The sequence below is a fragment of the Homo sapiens genome, chromosome 8, assembly GCF_000001405.40.
Source record: "Homo sapiens chromosome 8, GRCh38.p14 Primary Assembly".
In the NCBI taxonomy this organism is placed as follows: Eukaryota; Metazoa; Chordata; class Mammalia; order Primates; family Hominidae; genus Homo; species Homo sapiens.
In genome coordinates, this window is record NC_000008.11 from 60,097,027 (window position 1) to 60,117,011 (window position 19,985).

Genomic DNA, 19,985 nt, shown 5'->3' on the forward strand with positions numbered 1-19,985 from the left:
CCAGCCTCATTTCTCACCACTCTGCATATTCACCACTCACTTCCTCTTAAACTTAGCAGTTTTTCCTTCATTCTGGGTGCTCATTTAATTTACCTGTTATTCCTTTCTCTCAATTTCACTGCCACTTCACTTCTGTATTAGTCTGTTCTCACGCTGCTAATAAAGACATGCCCAAGACTAGGTAATTTATAAAGAGGTTTAATTGACTCACAGTTCCATGTGGCTGGGGAGGCCTCACAATAGGGGTGGAAGGCAAATGAGGAGCAAAGTCACATCTTACATGGTGGCAGGCAAGAGGGGATGTGCAGGGGAATGCCCTTTTATAAAACCATCAAATCTCATGAAACTTATTCACGATCACAAGAACAACATGGGAAAAACCCGCCCCCATGATTCAATTACCTCCCACCAGGTCCCTCCCATGACACATGGGTATTATTACAATTCAAGGTGAGATTTGCTTGGGAACACAGAACCAAACCATATCAACTTCCTTCACTTGGCTGTTCTTTCCTTATTCTTCAGGCCCCGTAAAAAATGTTTCCTCCTTGGAAGAGCATTCTTGGACAATCCAAGGGATCCTCTAGCAGCTTCTATACTAGAGCAGATACTTATTTTATCACTTTTCAAATATTGTTTACTTGAATTAATTTCCAAGTATAATTTTAGTTACTTGAGCGGTAGGGATATATCTTATCTCCCATATAAATATTTAGTAGACTCTCAATAATATTTAAATAGCTCTTAGTAGAAATTTTTAAAAATATTTTACAAGTATATTCTCATAGTCTAAAATATACTAAAATATAAAACACATCCTGTAACAATATAAAATCTAAACAATTGACTAAGATTGGTCCTATTTTCTAATGGTATTTTATTATGTTGGTAAAGAAATAACATAAAATATACTATATTGACATTAACATAACCAAACACAGCTAGTAAAGCTTACTGAAACCCAGCAGGTATCAAGATTATCTGTCGATAGCTATCAGTAATCAAAATTTTACTTCATTTGATAAAGACCTAAATTGTTCCCTCCATTTCTGTAAAAATTACATTAGATATACAACAATATCTCACATGCTGGCATTTGCTCAAGTTAATTCTCAAGTGATATTTTTGGTTTCTGTACTAAATTACATAGGAATGATCTGGAGTAACAGTTTTCATAGCTTTACAATAAAGCCAGAAAAACAATGCTCGTGTTTTTTATTACTAGTCCAATTAAAAATGTTTGTGTACAACAAATGTTAATGTAATCAGCAAAGACAGTAGTGCATTCAAGAGTACATTCTCTACTTTTCCAAAATTCACAGACCATAGATCTTTCTAAGGAAAGTTTTGCTTCAAAAGCTCAAATGTATTATTAATGGAGACAGAATTATAGTAATCCTGGGAGATGTTGAGGAGAAGCATTCGTCCTGAGGGTCTCCTGGGTTACTCAGGGTAAAGTCTTTAGTGTAAGAGGATTCAACATTAACAGAAAAAGTAGGTATATTAGTCCAGTCTCACATTGCTAGAAAGAAGTACCTGTGACTGGATAAATTATAAAGAAAAGAGTTTTATTTGACTCACAGTTCCACAGGCTGTACAGTAGACGTCTCTGGGGGAGCCTCAGGAAACTTACAATCATGGCAGAAAGGGAACCTGGTACATCTTCACATGGTGGCAAGACAGAGAGAGTGAAGGGGGTAGTGCTACAGACTTTTAAACAACCAGATCTCATGAGAACTAACTTACTATCATGAGAACAGCAAGGGGGATATCTGTCCCCATGATCCAGTCACCTCCCACCAGGTTCCACCTCCAACACTCGGGATCACAATTCAACATGAGATTAGGTGGGGATACAGAAACAAACCACATCATTCTGCCCCTAGCCTCTCCCAAATCTCATGTTCTTCTCACATTTTAAAACATGATCATGCCTTCCCAACAGTCCCCCCAAAGTCTTAACATTCCAGCATTAACTCAAAAGTCCAAGTCCAAAGTCTCATCTGATTCAAGGCAAGTCCCTTCTGCCTATGAGCCTGTAAAATTTAAAAAAAAAAAAAAGTAAGTTACTTTCAAGATATAATGGAGCTACAGGCATTGGGTAAATCCTCTCCTTCCAAAAGGGAGAAATTGACCAAAACAAAGGGGCGACAGGCCCTGTACAAGTCTGAAACCCAGCAGGGCAGTCATTCGATCTCAAAGCTCCAAAATAATGTATTTTGACTCCATGTCTCACATCCAGGCCACACTGTCATAAGGGGTGGGATCCCAAGGCCTTGGGCAGCTCCACCTCTGTGGATCTTCAGGGTACAGCCCCCATGGCTGCTTTCAGGGGCTACTGTTGAGCACCTGCAGCTTTTCCAGGTACACAGTGCAAGCTGTTAGTGGATCTACCATTCTGGTGTCTGGAGGATGATGACCCTCTTCTCACAGTTCCACTAGACAGTGTTCCAGTGGGGACTTTATGTGGGGGCTCCACTCCCACATTTCCCCTCTGCACTGCCCCAGTAGAGTTTCTCCATAAGGGCTCCACTCCTGCAGCAAACATCTGCCTGGACATCCAGGAATTTCCATACATCCTCTGAAATCTAGGTAGAAATTCCCAAACCTCAAATCTTGCTTTCTGTGCACCCACAGGCCCAACACCACATGGAAGCCACCAAACTTGGGGCTTGAACCTTCTGAAGCAGCAGCCTGAGCTGTACTTTGATGGCTTTTAGCCACAGCTGGAGCTGGAGCAGCTGAGGTGCAGGGTGCCATGTCCTGAGGCTGCAAAGAGAAGCAGGGCCCTAGGCCCCGCCCACAAAAACATTTTTCCCTCTCAGGCTTCTGGGCCTGTGTTAGAAGGGGCTGCTGGAAAGGTCTCTGACATGGCCTGGAGACATTTTCACCATTGTCTTGGCTATTAACATTTGGCTTCTCTTTACTTATGCAAATTTCTGCACCTGGCTTTAACTTCTCCTCAGAAAATAGGTTTTCCTTTCTACCACATGGATGGGCTGCAAATTTTCCAAACTTTTATGCTCTGCTTCCCTTTTCAATATAAGTTTCAGTTTCAGATAATCTTTTTGTTCATGAATACGAGCATACACTTTTAGAAACAGCTAGGTTACCTTTTGAATGCTTTGCTGCTTGGAAATTTCTTCTGCCAGATATCCTAAATTATCTCTCTCAAGTTCAAAGTTCCACAGATCTCTAGGGAAGGGGCAAAATGCCCCTCTCTTTGCTAAAGCATAGCAAGAGTGACCTTTACTCTAGTCCTTAATAAATTCCTCATCTCCATCTGGGATCACCTCAGCCTGGACTTGATTGTCCATATCACTGTCAGCATTTTGATCACAACCACTCAACAAGTCTCTAGGAAGTTCCAAACTTTTTCACATCTTTCTGTCTTTCTCTGAGCCCCCCAAACTCTTCCAGCCTCTGCCCATTACCCAGTTCCAAAGTCGCTTCCACATTTTCAGGTATCTTTATAGCAATGCTCCACTCTTCTGGTACCAATTTTCTGTATTAGTTCATTCTTACATTGCTATAAAGCATTACCTGAGATTGGGTAATTTATAAAGAAAAGAGGTTTAATTGACTCACCGTTCCACAGGCTATACAGAAGGCATGGCTGGGGAGGCCTCAGGAAACTTACAATCAAGGCAGAAGGGGAAGCAGGCACATCTTCACATGGTGGCAGGAGAGTGAGAGAGTAAAGCGGGAGGTGCTACACACTTTTAAACAACCAGATCTCATGAGAACTCACTCACTATCATGAGAATAGCAACAGGAAAGTCTGCCCCCGTGGTCCAGTCACCTCTCACCAGATCCCACCTTCAACACTCAGGATCACAATTCAACATGGGATTGAGTGAAGACACAGAGCCAAACCCTATCAATAGGTATGTTCCAGAGTGTGCAAACGACAGCTCAGGCCACACTAAAGGAAAAACCATTCCTTTTCCTTTGCTCAGAATTGTTCCTGACATAGATATTCCCATTATTTCTGTTCTTCCTGAAACTTACAAAACTAGGAAAATAGAAACTTCATAGCAGGTCAAAAACAAAAACAAAAAAAGAAAGAAATTACAATCAATAAAAATTTCTAAAGTAGTGCGAACAGCAACAAAATGGTTAAAATAGTGAAATAAAAAGTAGACTGCAATAAAAATAATTATTAAATGTAATTTAACAGTTTTAAATAGTAAAACAAAATTGTAAAGTGCTTTAATGTTTAAAATAAAGATTAGTGAATTTAAAAATAAGTAGCATCAAATAAGATAATAAGTGACAGATGCTATTAGACACCTAGACCAACATCTTTTCTCCGTTTTCTACTTAGTGACAGACCCCTGATTTTCTCTGGGCACTGTGTCCCCTTTCTTCCATAATCTAAGACTACATTTACCAGGCCACCTTACAGCTAGGTACAGCTAAGAGCTGGGTGGGACTTCTGGAAGGCTACTTAAAATGGGTAATCTGCTGTAAGGAGCACCTTTTTAACCTTCTAATTTCATTTCTTTTCCAGGCTGGACCACTTGAGGCCCAGCCAAGTTGTCCAGCCACCTTGGACCCTAGTTGACCGGGAATATGGAGGCACACATTATGCTGCACATTAGAAAAACTGGACCCTGGTCCTTGATGACAGTGGGATTGCCTGACCAGCTCTCAAATGCTGCCTATGGGTCTTTTATATGAGGGAGAAGTCAGCTCAGCTTAAATCTTCTTTCTGCCCCTATTATCTGGGATTTTCTGTTTTGTGTCCCTGAACATAATCCTAACTAAAACAGACAAATTGGATGTAATCAGTAAAAATTAAAGCTGAAAATGAGAAAAAGTCCAAAACTATAAAATAATCATATATATTAATATGATGAAAGTTAACAGCCATAAAGATGAAGAAAATAATACAAAGACAAATTATAGTATATGAAAACAGTTGAATGTAAAATAAAATGTTAAACAAACTAAGATAAGACAAACAAAATTTAATAACTAAAGGCAGTAGTCTAAGACAAATGCACTAGGTAAACATTATTGAAACTAACCCGGATAGCCAACAGGTATCACATTTCTCCCACAAAGATTCTTTTAAAAGGATCTCTGTTACTTGAGGTTCACACACACATAACCTTCAAAGTAAAGTTATATAATTTCATACAACTTGCAAGTAAACACAGTTTTATTCACTCTTCGGAGGAAAGGCATCCCATTGTCCAAGAAGCAAAGGGATGTGATCAGAAATAGAATTGCTCCAACCAAGAATATATGAGTATAAAAAATTCATATCTCCAACCAACAGCAGTGGGCTGAGGATAAGAGAAAAATTCCAGGCACACACTGGAAATTAATCTCAATTTTTTTTTCATGGATGCTAATGTTAATAGCTATAATTCTATAATACAAGAAATAATACCTGTAAGAAACCCAAATTTTTATTGGCTTTTTATTTGGAAGCAAAATAACACATTTGATAAAGGTCCCAGATAGCAGGTTTTTAAAAGCCTTACTTTGTTTGGAAGTTGGGGCTTAAGAAAATTTTAAATAATAAAATTCAGCCTTTGACTGACTTTTCTTTCCATTTTGCAGTCTATAGGTTTTGGGCGAAATTGCCTTTTCATGAGGGCAAGAAAATGATGGATCCTAAACTAAACTTGAGCTGGCAGTGCTCAGAGCTGCCTGATGAACTTATCTGAGGGTTCAGGCTCCCCATCCAATAGGTCTGGCTTCCTCCCCAACCCTCCACAGGATATGATGGACAACATTTCCAAAAATCCAGAATCTTTTAAAAATGTCATTTTTTTTCTCTAAGTATCTCGGGGATATAATACAAAGAAATATACATCAGTAAATTTCACTTAGTAGCATATTTCAAATCAAGATGATCATTTGTAGAAAAATGCACAATAATTGCAGTATAATTACTCTCCTGTTTAAGATTATCAAAACACTTTTCCCAGCAGTTCATTATTAAATGTGCGTAGCCACATCAGTGGTTGAAAAAACAATTCTGAACATAAGATTTATTGCCCATCTTCCAGACTCTTTTAACTCAACCTTTACCTTACATGATATTAATGATGCTGAACGTTTGTTTTGTTCTTAAGAGGAAAAATAAAGACATAAAATTGAAAACACCAATTTTTGCTATTAGCTACCTGAAGGCTTTATCCAGTGCCTGCAGCTCCAGCTCTTGCTGGTTTTGGCCGCTGCCCCTTCTTCCACATGTACCCCTCCACCCTGCCTCACCCAGGCCAGCTGGCCGCAGGTGCCAGTGTGCATTGTATCCCACTGAATTAGGCCATCATAATATGGAGTGACAGCCCCCTTCCACTGACACATCTGGACAGAGAGGCAGAGGACCCAGCCAGGTGGTCTGTGTGTGAGGGGCGTAGGATTAAAGGACAGGGTAAAGGGACACCAAAAAGCACAGACAGGTAGCAGCTAGTGGTTAAACGGTCACTAGAAACTGTGAATTGGAAGTCAAAGTAGTATAATCCCCAAGATAAATGGGAAGAGAAATGAAGCTGCTCCAAACGAAATGCTCAAGATCCAGCAAACATATTTCCTTGTCAGAATATAGATTGACGTGTGTGCACTTGTGCAGTGCACAAGGGGTGCACATGGGCATGTCCAGTTTTAGGCAGTGATCTGTTCTTTGTAAGTAACTTCTTTAAATAACACAAGTTCTATCTCTTACTGTAAAAACAAAGTGTGTGTGTTTAAGTGTTAACACTTAAGATAAAATCTTTGTAAAAACATATTACACTTTGTTATCATTTTCAACAAAGTGTGTTGAAATACAAGCCCTTCTCTTCTGAGGATGTGGGGCGATAGATAATAATACAACTGGACCTCTGTCTCTAATAGTAAAGCAACTGAGACCCCATTCATGTTTGTACCTGACGTGCCCCGTGCTCAAGCCCATCCCGCCTTGCCTCTTCCATCCCCCTCACTCAATCCACTCTGCCCTGTGGATACCTGGACTCATGGCTGCTAGCTACACCATCATCCTGTGCCTGAATCTACATCCCTGGCTGTGATGGTGATTCTGGCCTGATATATGAGAACCACCAACATGATTTTGACAGATTTTTCTCACTGTTGCTGAGCATTCGCTCTTACCTCTGAGATCACTACTGTGTTCAAGACATAGCTGAGGAAATTCCTAAAGCTCCAGATGAGTCTGTCTATAAACTGTGGTAGTCCCAGTTTACAAAACCACAAATAATTGTGCTTTAAGAGAAGAAAAATAGCATGTTGTCAAAAAATATTTTTCCAGTGGACTAAACAGACTCCTAAAAATTCCATCCTTAGGAACCCTCGTCTAGGCTAACCCATTTTCTTGGATCAGGTAATTAGATCAGGGGACCACCCACCGTCAGAGAACCAGGCTCTGAAGGACAGCTGAGTTTTGGTGGGAGGGCCAATAGTGTCCTGGAAGAGAAAGGGCAGATTGAGGAAGAACATTGGAACATGAGCTTTAGTGGGGCAGGGCAGGGCGAGGCTGGCAAGCACTAGCATTAATAGGAGGGTGACCCCTTCGAGTCGCTGTGCACCTGTGCAGGGTCAGCCCTAGCTAGGAGGAGCAGGCACAGGGATGGGACAGCAAAGAGGAAGCCAGACCACTCTTCACACAGAGGCTCTGACATACACACAGAGAGACTGTGTGTGTGTAAAAACAAAGATATCGAAAATGGGTTAAAAAATGGTGGGGAGGCTTAAGCCTATGCCTGTGTTACCCCTGATGGACCAGTGGCAGGTGCAGTAAGAACTGAAGAGCTGAAACATCACTATCTAATAGTTCGCTTTAGAAGGAATTATTGCTTAATTTCAGCCACAGTTTATTATAAAAAAAAAACCAATTCACTCATGGTATATAAAGTCATATTTTTGGCCTTGTAAACAGCTAGACTGGTAAATGTTGAGGGAGTGCTGGCAGCAAGAACTTACCTTCAATATTTTGATTAGTTCCACTTGGCTTGTGCAAAATTGCACACATTAAATAGAGCAATGCCTTCACAGTGACTTAGCAATTATTCTGCTATTATATTGGTCCCCCAAACCTGCAGATTTTACCAAATAAATGTTTTAAAGAGATCGTCATTAAATCCTAACAATTTTAATCCCAATGAATGCTATGAGTTCAGTGCCATGCATATACCTCTAAAAACATCACATGGCTAGAATCTACAAGCAATACAATTGTTCTTAGGCTCTCAGAGCAGAGTTTTTCCCCTGAAGATCATACTTATTCAAGCAGGCGTGAAACAGAATAATTTCAAACTAAAAAGTGGGAATTTATATATTCAAAAATAAACCCAGATATGGGAACACACCTTTGGAAGTGGAATAAAATTAAAATTTGATAATTCCATTCAGACATCAGAAACAAGCTCAAAAGATCTATTGTACATAATGCTGACTATGGTTAATAAAAATATATTTTAAAATTGAAAATTACTAAGAGTGTAGATTTTATGTGTTCTCATCAGAAAATACAAGATCTGTATGTATCTGAGGTAATGCATATGTGAATTAGCTTGAGTCAGCCAATCCACAACGTATACATATATCAAAACCTCATCTTTTACACAGTAAATATATATAATTTTACCAATTAAAATTAAAATATATAAATAAAAAGAAATATAAGAAAGTGAAAAAAATGAAAACCTGATAGATGCAGACAAGTAGAATAAAGATAATGTTAGAGAAGTGAGAGAAAGTATCCCTATAAACGTCTGCACACAGTTTATCATTTTCTGGTCTCTCAGTGATGAGCATACAAACTACCTGAGTGTCTCAGTCACCTATTGCTGTGTAACAAATCTTCCCAAAGCTTAGTGGCTTAAAACCATGTGGACAATTTAACTGGATTCTCTGTGAGCTGGGTGAATCTTTGGCTCCATTTGATGTAGCCTGCTGTCACCCATGGGCTACGAGGCCCAAGAAGACTGGGGTCCCCTCTATGTGGCATCTTTCCCTCCACAGCTTCTTCAAGTGGACTCTCTCTCCAGAAACATCGTCTGGGCCTTCCTACAGCATGGCAGCTGGGTTCCTGAAGAACAAAAGCAGAACTTTCCAAACGCTTAAAGGGCTAGGTCTGGAGCTGCACAGCTTCACATCTGCCACGTGGTATTGGCCAAAGCAAGTGACAAGGGCACTCCAAATTCAAGGGAAGGGGAAAACAGATTCCACCTTTGATTGGAGGAATAGCAGGAGAGCATAGTGAGGGAAGAAGTTGATGGTCCTCCTTGAAAACTACCTAACACATTGGGTAATATTTAGCAGTGTCTCATTTTCCCATTGGCAGGAATCGCTCACTATTTCATGACATACGGTCACAAATAAAAAGTACTGCCAATAGCTTTGTTCTCGCCAAAGAATGGAGTGGCTGAGCACATGAAAAATAGCATATCACCTAAATGTATACAAATCAATGCCCATAGTGCCTTTACCACTGTATTATTACTATGGTCTTTGGATAAACAAAAATACATGTTTTTAAATGCACAAGTGATTGCTTGAAGAGAATAATTACATTAATTAGGGTAATCTATAATTATATTTAAAGAATTCTCAAATAGTAGAGGAAATCCCATTCCAGAAATATGAAAGAAATATACTAAAGTAGATAGATTCTGTATGAAGCAGGTTCTCGAATAACATTGTTTCATTCAATGTGCTTTCATTATAATTTTGATGGGGAAAAAATCCAATTCCTGTCCGGAGCCACTGTCTGAATGCAGTTTGCATGTTCTCTGCACTTCTGCATGGATTTTTCTCTGGGTCCTCCAGTTTCCTCTCACATCCCAAAGCTGTGCCCATTAGGTTTATTGGTGTGCCTGCAAGGTCCCAGCATGAGTGCATATGGGGGCCCATTAGGTTCATTGATTTGTCTGCATGGTCCCGGTGTGAGTACATATGGGTGTGTGTTGAGTGCATCCTGTGATGGAACAGCTTCCTGTCCATGGTTGGTTCCGCCTTGTGCCCTGAGCTGCCAGGATCGGCCCCAGCTACCTGACACCCTGAACTGGAATAAGCATGTTGGAAAATGAATTAATACAAATTATTATAAAATAAAAATCTTAAAGTCTATGAGAATCATACAGATGCATAACAATAAACAATGCAAGAGGAAAGTACTCAGTGAGCCTGCCATGTTTGTGATGAATTGGTTTTGAACTGTGTGGTGGGAGGAGGTGCTCCTGAAAATTTTCTCCTCGAAAATATTTATTCCTTTTTTAATTTTTTAATTGAAAATAATAATCGTACATATTCTTGGGGTATATAGTGATGTTTCAATACATATAATGTATAGTGATTAGACCAGAGTAATTAGCATATCCATCTTCTCAAACACTTACTATTTTTTATGTTGGGAATGTTCAATATCCTTCTCTTGTTATTCCTTGATTTAACCCCACCACTGCTATGACCACCATAACTCACTGATTTGCCAAAAATTGAATAAGTCATTATCTTATTTGTTTTTATTAATCTTTCTTAAATGTATATATAATACACAGTTATTTCAAAAGTTAATGTTAGAAGGGTTTTGAGTATTGATTTACATGTTTGGTGATGGTTTTGTTACTAGGAATATGTCATAGGAACTTAACTCTTGTTCATATCAACTAGTCTATGGTAGAATTGATTTCATTATAGTAATTCCACCTGAAGTCACAGTTTCCAAGAACCTATGGATGATATTTGGTGAGGACTTATGTTACTGGCACCTAAATTCAGCATGTGCATAATTGAACTCATCTTTGTGTCATCACGTGTTTCCTAGCTCTGGAAAGAGACTAGTGTCTCAGTCAGCCAGGTGAAAAATGTGAGACCATTCCTTTTACTGATCTGTTGAATGTTCATCATGATCCAGCCAAATCCACCTGGTTTCCAGTGCAGTGGATTCTACCCTACAAATGTATTTGGTGTTCATTCTTTCCCTATGATTGCTCTGCTCTCTATCTAGCTCAGGCCCTTAATCCTGGCCTATTCTTCCCAATAATGCCAGCTACCTTCCCTGTCTCTGGCTTTATTCCATTCTGTCCATAATTCATATTTCTACCAGCACATACTAAACTGAGTACATACTATGTCACTTCTTTTTAAAAAACAACGCCTTCAATGGAACTTCTAGATTAGAATGCAGATGAATTAACGAATTCAAAGAAATGCCTCATCCAGATCAGATCTCTTTTGATATCCAAGAAAGCATACAAGTGAAAGTTGACAATCCAATGAGCTTACATCAGAGTCAAGGAAGGGTTGCAGAATGTCAATGGGAGGAGATGAAAAAATGACATTAATAGCTGATGCACATTCTACCTCCTAAGTCAAAATGATGAGACAGGGAAAGGAGAGATACCAATTCTTAGTACCAACTCCAGATATGGGGCAAGAAAACTGCACTAAACTAGAAATAATAAGTACAAAAACAAGAGGGTGAAGAGAGAGGAAAAGAGTTAAATCTAGTGAAGAGGCATATAAGCAAACAAAAATAAAAGACTTCCCTTTTGTTTTCTATTATCTTTCTCTGTGCCAAATTTTTATGCTGCACCAAGCACATGATATGTGCCAGAGTGTGGAGTCATGGGATGCATACATATCACTTGCGATGGCACCCCAGATCAGCAGAGCAAGCCTGGGGCAGGGAAGGCCTGCCATGGGGTGCTGAAGACTCCCTGCTTGATTTTGTAGGCACTGCAAATCATCCTGAGAAAGACAAATGAATTGAAGCAGAGGACTTGACATGGAGTGGAAGGGAGTCATGTTAGAAATATTCATATGGAGAATCCACAAAACTTAGTGTGTGCCTGTAGGAGCAGGTGAATTGCTGCAAGCATTCATCATCATCACAGCCACAATGTCACCTAACAATAAATATTGTCTATGCAGCCCCATTTCAAAGATGAAGAAACAGAGGCACAGGGAGATTAAATAACTAGTTTCTGGTTAGATGGTATAAAAGGCAGAGCCAGGATTTGAATCCAGATGGTGCAGATTCTGCCTTCTGAAGCACCTCACAACCCTGCATGTATTTAAATGGTTTTGATCTTGGTATGTGCTCCAGCCACACTGAATTACTGACATTGGTTTCCATTCACATCAAGTGTTGTCATGCTCCAGCTACTTTGGCTGTGGCCTTCTTCTGCTGGAATTCCCTCACTGCCCAGACAACCTCATCCATCTTGCAGGTCAGCTGCACAGTCCGCTTCTCAGAAACCTTCGAAGTGCTAAGCAGCGGTTTCCTGCTTTCTGTATACAACGCTGTTACAGCAATTACCAAACTGTTGCAACTATTTCAGAGAAAGGAGCTTCTGTCGTTTTATGATGAAATATTTTTGCTTTTTGAAAAGTAAAGGAAATAAGTAACAACAACCCAGGAAGCTACCACTCACAAATATAGCTGAGACCTCCTGAGTACATCTCCCTGACCCCAAGTCCTACGGTGATGTTTACTTTTACCGTGTGTGTCCTCACACTTTAGCCTTCATACTCACGTATAAAATAATCAGGCAAGTTTACATGCTTGTACCTTCATATTACCAGTATACTATATGGATACTTTTGCATCTTAATCTTTTTTTTTTTTTTTTTGAAACGGAATTTCACTCTTGTTGCCCAGACTGGAGTGCAATGGCGCGATCTCGGCTCACTGCAACCTCTGCCTCCCGGGTTCAAGCGATTCTCCTGTCCCAGCCTCCCAAGTAGCTGGGATTACAGGAACATGCCAGCATGCCCAGTTAATTTTTGTTTTTTTTCTTTTAAGTAGAGACGGGGTTTCATCATATTTGTCATGCTGGTCTCAAACTCCTGATCTCAGGTGATCCGCCCACCTCGGCCTCCCAAAATGCTGGGATTACAGGCGTGAGCCACCATGCCCGGCCACATCTTGCTCCTTTTTAATCTGCATTTTGTTTTGACATATAATCCATGATGTAGTTCTGCTTCACTCACTTTAATTACTGTTCCACTGTATTACTATGCACAATGTATTTTCTCTTCTACTGATGGATATTTTGGTTGGATCCAGTATTTCATTCTTCCAAAGAATGTTGAAATAACACCTTTTTATGTTTGGGTCTGCTTTTGTGAGTGCCCCTGGATTGCATACTAAATCTCAGAGCATTATCAGATCTTGCTTAGTGTGCACTAGCAGTACACTAGCAGTATATAAGACTCCCCATTGCTTCACATACTTGTCAGTTCTTTGGACTGTAGAGCTGATTTTTTTTTTCAAAGTGATGAATATGAAATTGTATTTCATGGTTATTTTTATTTTCATTTCTATAAGAATTATTAAGGCTGAGCAACTTTTCACTGGTTTATTGGCCAATTGCATTTCCTATTCTGTGAGTAACCTATTTTCTATCCTTTGCCAACTTTTTAATGTAGTTGTTTGATTTTTGCTTACTGATTTGAAAGAGGCCTTTTTATTTCCCGGGTAGTAATCCATGAATTTATATATTCTGTCAATATCTTCTGGCAGTCTTTGACTTTTTTTTCTTATGTGGCCTTCATGGACATAATTTTTTAAATTTTTATATGGTAAGTTTTGTTAATATTTTCACTTACAATTTTTATAAATTTTATTTCTAACTTGTATTAAAAAGACTCTCCAACTTCATCTGTAAAACTATTGTCCTATATAATTGGCATTTACATATGACACATAATACTGTTTCTTTTTTTCACCACTGATTTTTGAGAATGTTCATTACATCAAGCTTTGTAATTATGCTTTTTTTTTAGATGTAGTCTCACTCTGTTACCCAGGCTGGAGTGGGAGTGCAGTGGCATGATCACGGCTCACTGCAACCTCCACTTCCCAGGTTCAAGCGATTCTCGTGCCTTCCTAGTAGCTGGGACTACAGGCGCATGCCACCACACCTGGCTAATTTTTGTATTTTTAGTAGAGACGGGGTTTCACCATGTTGGCCAGGCTGGTCTTGAACTCCTAACCTCAGGTGATCCACCCGCCTTGGCCTCCCAAAGTGCTGGGATTACAGGCGTGAGCCACCACGCCCGGCCTATAATTATGCTTCTTAAAGATCATATTATTACCCATCAGGTATTTATTTTTTTAATTTTACTTTATTGATACATAATATTTTACATGTTTATGAAGTACATGTGAGTATGTGTTACATGCATAGAATGTGTGATGACTATCTTGAGTGTTTATCATTTCTATGTGTTGGGAACATTTCAAGTTCTTTCTTCTAGCTACTTTTAAATAAACAATACATTGTTGCTAACTAGTAAAACTTCTCCTTAAGTGTTATTTAACAAATATTTATATATCGTTAACTATGTACCAGATACTGTTCTAAACACATAACAAATGTTAACTCCTTGAGTCCTCATTCGAGTGAGAAAAACCTAGAATGGGAGAAGTTAATTGACTACATAACACAGCTAGTAAGTGGCAGAAACAGGATTCAAACCCAGTCTAGCATCAGAATCCATGCTCTTCACCATCACGATATTTATGACAGTATACTACACAGGCTTGATTTTGCTCAAGTCTGTCAAGTTATTTATTCAGTGTTCCTTTCTTCTTGTTCCAGTTTTCTTCTTCCTGAATAATGTCTTCTAGTAATACTTTCTGCAAGAGTCTGAGAGTAATAAACTCTCCCTCTCTCTTCTCTCTCTCTCTCTCTAGCTCATGTTTGTTAATCTGAAGATATCTTCATTGTCTTTACCTCATATTCATCTTTTGATGAAAGTTTACCTGAGTGTACAATTCTAATTTGGCCATTAGTTTCTCTCAGTGCTTTAGCAATGTTCCATTCTCTACAGGTTTCCCTTATCACTGCTCAGAAGTCACATATCAGTTTGTGTTGTTTCTTTGTCTTTGCTTTTAAAAGTCTTGTCTTTGCCTTTGATGTTATACATTTTTCCTATGATTTGACTGTGTGGATTTAGTTCTACTTATCTTGTTTAGGACTCATTAGGTTTCCTGAATGTGAAAATCCCATGTTGTTCAGAAATATAGGAAAAATTCATGCCTTAAATACTAATTCTCTCCAATCTCTCTGTAACCTGTACTAGATATATTTTAAACTTTTTAATCCACCTTATCATGTCTCTATATACTCTAGGGAAACTTAATTGAGGAGAAGGCTTAGAAATTTCTTCCAAAACTAAACAAACCCTTTGCCCTAGCTGTTCTACTCCTGCATATTTACCCAGAAAAAAATGAAAATCTATATCCACAAAAAGACTTGTACAAGAATATTCATAGCAGCCAAAATCTGGAAAAAACCCAATGTCCATTAATAAGAGAGTAGATAAATGAATCTTGGTATTTTAATATAAAATAGATGAATCTCAAAACTATGCTGTGTGAAAGTAATCTACATGAAGGAGTACAAACCTAAAGATTCCATCTTTATGAATGTTTGGAATAAGCAGAATTTTTCTACAAGGAAAAAGCAGTGGTTGCTAGATGTAGAGTCAGAAGGTATTACTGGCTAGAAGGGGTATGAAGTCATAGAAATGTTCTGTATCTTGATAGGGGTTTGAGTTACACAGGTGTATGCATCTATCAAACATATTAAATGATGCACTTAAAATTTGTTAATTCTAATATATGTAATTTTTACTTCAAAAATCATAAACAAATATTTTTATTTATAATATATTTAATGTTATTTATGAAAATGGGTATAGTTAATGTAATCTTTCAATACAGTTAACAAATGTAGTTAATAATATGTACAAATGTAGTTAATAATAATATGTTGAATTGTTTAGGCATGAAACATACTGATATCTGCAACTCAATTTAAAAACATCACGAAATAAGATAAATTGATATATAAATTTGTCTATCATTTTAAGATGTTTTTAAGCTAATGTAACAAAATGTTAACTATAGCATAGTTTTAGGTATTCTACATAAAATCTTGTAACTTTCTCTACACTTGAAAATTCTTATAATAAAATGTTAGGGAAATTTGCTTGTCTTGTTACTTTCTCATCTTTTGACTTTATCTTTTATACCTTCAATTATTTTTAAAATGCTATCTAAACTTTTATCTCAGTTCCTCCAGACTGAATTTGATTGTGTACTGTGCTTGATGACACTCACTCATGGTGTATTGCTTCCTTGTAGAATTGTAATTGTGTGTTGTAAACTCATATTTAGATAGTCCTAGGCTGAGGATATTTTGTGCCAGACAGATTTTCCTTTATTTCAACCTCATGTCCCAAGGTTATTTTTAGCTTGGAATATTTTTAAGTGCTTTTTAAAAGTCCTTCTCAGCACAAGATCTTTAACATCAAACAGATAGTATAAGTCTTACCCAAATCTTAGTTAAAATAGGCTAATTTATTTCTTCTTACCTCATCTCCATGATCAGGCCAATAGCTCAGTTTTCATCAGCCTGGTGTGGTAGCCAATCATTTTTCAGGCCTATTTTTTGTTTGTTTAGACAGAGTCTCACTCTGTCACCCAGGCTGGAGTGCAGTGGCACGACCTCCTCTCACTGCAACCATCGCTTCCCAAGTTCAAGCAATTCTCCTGCCTCAGCCTCCTGAGTATCTGGGACTATAGGCATGCACCACCACGCCCAGCTGATTTTTGTATTTTTAGTAGAGACGGGGTTTCACTATGTTGGTGAGGCTGGTCTCCAACTCCTGACCTCAGGTGATCCACCAGCCTCAGCATCCCAGTGTTGGGATTACAGGCACGAGCCACCTTGCCAGGCCAGGTCTACCCTATAGCTGAGAAATAAAACATACAAGAATTCCCAACCTTATGTTGGTGTTTCATCCCAATACCCTACCTCCTTTAGGCCCAATGCCCCATCTCCTATCTATGAATGGTCCTATAACCCAAAGTCCTGGTTACTAAGAGAGATAACACCCTGTTAGAGCAGCAAATAGTTATCCACTTAGATCTCCCTTTATTTTGATTTCTATGGATTTGGTTTACTTTTCTATAAATTCAGGATTTCTAGGTGTTTTGTAGCAGGAGGATTTTTATGCTTTTAATATTTCATATTGCCATAAATTGAGGTCACCCACTGTTTGTGTACAAGTTGGTCTGTTGGTCTTCACTAACATGCGATCTAACTTATGTCTCAGCAGCTTACATAACAATACATGACATATAATCAATAAATACTTATTGAATTAGTGATTTTGATTATAAATTGCAAACAGATTTAGAAAATGCAAATTAAACATTACTACTAATAACTAATCTTTATATTCGGATATCATCTAATTTTCACAATCATATTGTGAGTTAGGTAATAGTAGTCTAATCTATAGACTAAAACATTTAGGCTTAATGGGGTTAAATAAATTTCCCAAGGTCATATATCTAGCACAAAGCAGATTTTACTTTCAAATAGAGGGCTCTTTGATTCTAGAGTCTACACTACCATATAAATTATTAAAATGTACTAAAAATAGACTGAATAAATGAAAATTAAGATATAAATTAATACAATTATTAAGATAATCTGTAAAAGGCTTCTAGCCTATGGAAAATGGTATTTTCAAATTCTCTAATAACAAATAACTCCCACAAAATATAATTGTTCTTTTGTACCTTTTAGAAGGGCAAAAGTTAACTGACCAAAATTATTTTTAACAAATATTATAGACTTGGAGAAAATGTGTATTATATAAAGAGCGCAAAGGCCTGAGGTACTTGTGTGGCTAGAAAAGAGGAATAGAGTAGAATAAGTAAAATCTTGTACCTAACAATCACACAAGGAAACAAGATGAGGGGAACAGTAGACACAAAACATTCATTTAAAAGTTGTGTATAGTACTAAAAGTAAAAAAAACAAGAGCCTAAATAGTCAACAACAGAATAATAAGGAAACTGTTTTATTTATCCAATAATTATGATGCTTGTATAACAAGAAGACACATTAAAAATAAAAAGGCATTGGCAAAGTCTTATTTGAGTTCAAAAAAAAGCAGCATAAACATCCACAGAATGTTTACAATCTGCAGTGTTATATAGGTGCAGAAAAACACTAAAAAAAGGTATACCTCAGCATCAGTAATATTTGGAGGGTTTATTAAGGAGAATGTGAATAATAATTTTGGACAAAATTTTTCTATTTAAATTTATTGAATGAAACTTTCACCATTATTAAAAGAATTTTTTTTGAAATATGCATATATTTACGCATTTATACTGTCCTCGGTGGCCCTAATTTCTAGTAAATTTAAGATGGCCCAAATATGTTAGAAACCTCCTTTTCCAACCTTAATATCCAACATTTGCCATCTTGAATTCTCTGCTACGGACAATCAGGCTTCCTGATGTTTCCTAAATCCAACTTCGGCCTTTGCCCTCTCTCCTTGCTCAGGTTGTCCTCCATTTGAAGAGTCTCTCCTGGCCTCATTTGATCTTCATCCGTTAAAAGCCTACATGTTGGTTAAGGTCCAGCTCAAAGGTCACTATCCTTACAAGGCATTTTTTAATTCCCTCACCTGATCATGATCACCTGAGTTTTACTTACTTTTAGCCTTGGAAGAACCATTTGTGCTATAGAGACAGTGAGGCCTAGGTGAAGGGGACCTTAAACAAATGGCATTCTTCAAAATCAAGAGCTTTTTTGTTGGATTAGTTAGAAGACTTTTTGTTTTTGTTTTTGTTTTGCATCAACTCAATACCAACTTCTGCCTTTGTCATAATTGTCCCTAGTCAACTTTTTTTTTATAGTAGAGATAAATGTATTGCATTATTTTTGTCACCCTTCATTTACAATTTACTTTTTCAATCAATTTCTGATGTTTATAGTGGCCACATCCACTACTCCTACAGTTCCGTTTCAGAGGCCATCGGAGCTCTACATCTATTATTTACTACCGATATCCACATCAAGCCTCCCTCCCTTGCTCTTCATGAAATGCATCCACGATGGGACATTGATCTCATTATTCTGTGAGGATCTGGTTGTTTGTCTGCATCTTTCTCTACATCTGGGATCTGAAATTTTCTTATTGGATAACGAATCCCCATCACATACACACATGATAAATATTTGTTTAATGGAAAAACAAATGCATGAGAGTGGCATGATGAAAACAGGTGAGTCTGGATTAAAGCAATTGGTCATCTGTTTGGTCCAATTCCCAGCAACCCAGGTTTGCAAAAGTGTGTGTTGCAAGAGCTGCTCTTGCTATGAAATGATGCCATGAATGTATAACCTGTTACTTACTTTAGAATCCTTTTTACTTAAAAAATAATCTGACAATGTCCATTTCAATACGTGGTTTTAATGACATGACCCCCTAACTACACTTTCTGATCTGCAAATTCCTGTTCTCATGTATTGTATGGTTTTACAAACTGCACCTGTTTGAAATGAACACAAAGCAAGAAACTGTTTATGCAGAAAAACCAAGTGCTCTGCATTCTCCAGTTCCTCAAGGAGAATGTTTATGTGGTTTACCTTGCGAAGCCAAAGGTCTTTTGCAGCACTTATGCACCTGAAGGAAGCCCTGAGGGATGGCAGAGTTAGCCTTCTGGTGGGTGAAGGTGCCATGTGTCTTGTCTATTTTATCTCCTTCACCCACTACCTACCTCCTCCACCACCCCACCCCACCCCACCCCACCCTCATTCTCCTTTTTTATTCCTTTCTCCTGTCTCATATTATTGGGTACAGGGCTGTGTGTTAGCATTTAGCATATAATGACTTACACATAGAAGATACTCTACATGCATCAAATAGAACTTTAAATAAACAAACCTGGGTATAGATCACTAGCAAATGCCAAGTCTTAGCAAAGCAGAACTCTTAAAATTAGAGATATACTAAGATGATGAGTAAAATCACTGCATGGAAATGTTTTTTAATTCAAATGTATTATTGTATATTTGTCTGAGACATCTGACAGATCTTTTTTTAAAGTACACAATTCTAAATAAATGCTTTGGTCAAAAATCTTGATCAATCTCTGTCTTTCTCTCTACATTTACTGAATTGAAAAGGATTCCACAAATATACTA

General features: G+C 37.9%; 1 long non-coding RNA gene across 2 annotated transcripts in view; it reads left to right on the forward strand.

Annotated features, from left to right (window-relative positions):
• LOC105375861 (uncharacterized) overlaps nucleotides 1–19,434 on the forward strand; it is a 69,653-nt gene extending 50,219 nt beyond the window's left edge. For both annotated transcript variants that reach the window (XR_001745714.3, XR_007060918.1), the window contains one exon: nucleotides 18,773–19,434. This is a non-coding gene — a long non-coding RNA (uncharacterized LOC105375861). The remainder of the gene's footprint in view (nucleotides 1–18,772) is intronic.
• The last annotated feature ends 551 nt before the right edge of the window (nucleotides 19,435–19,985 follow it).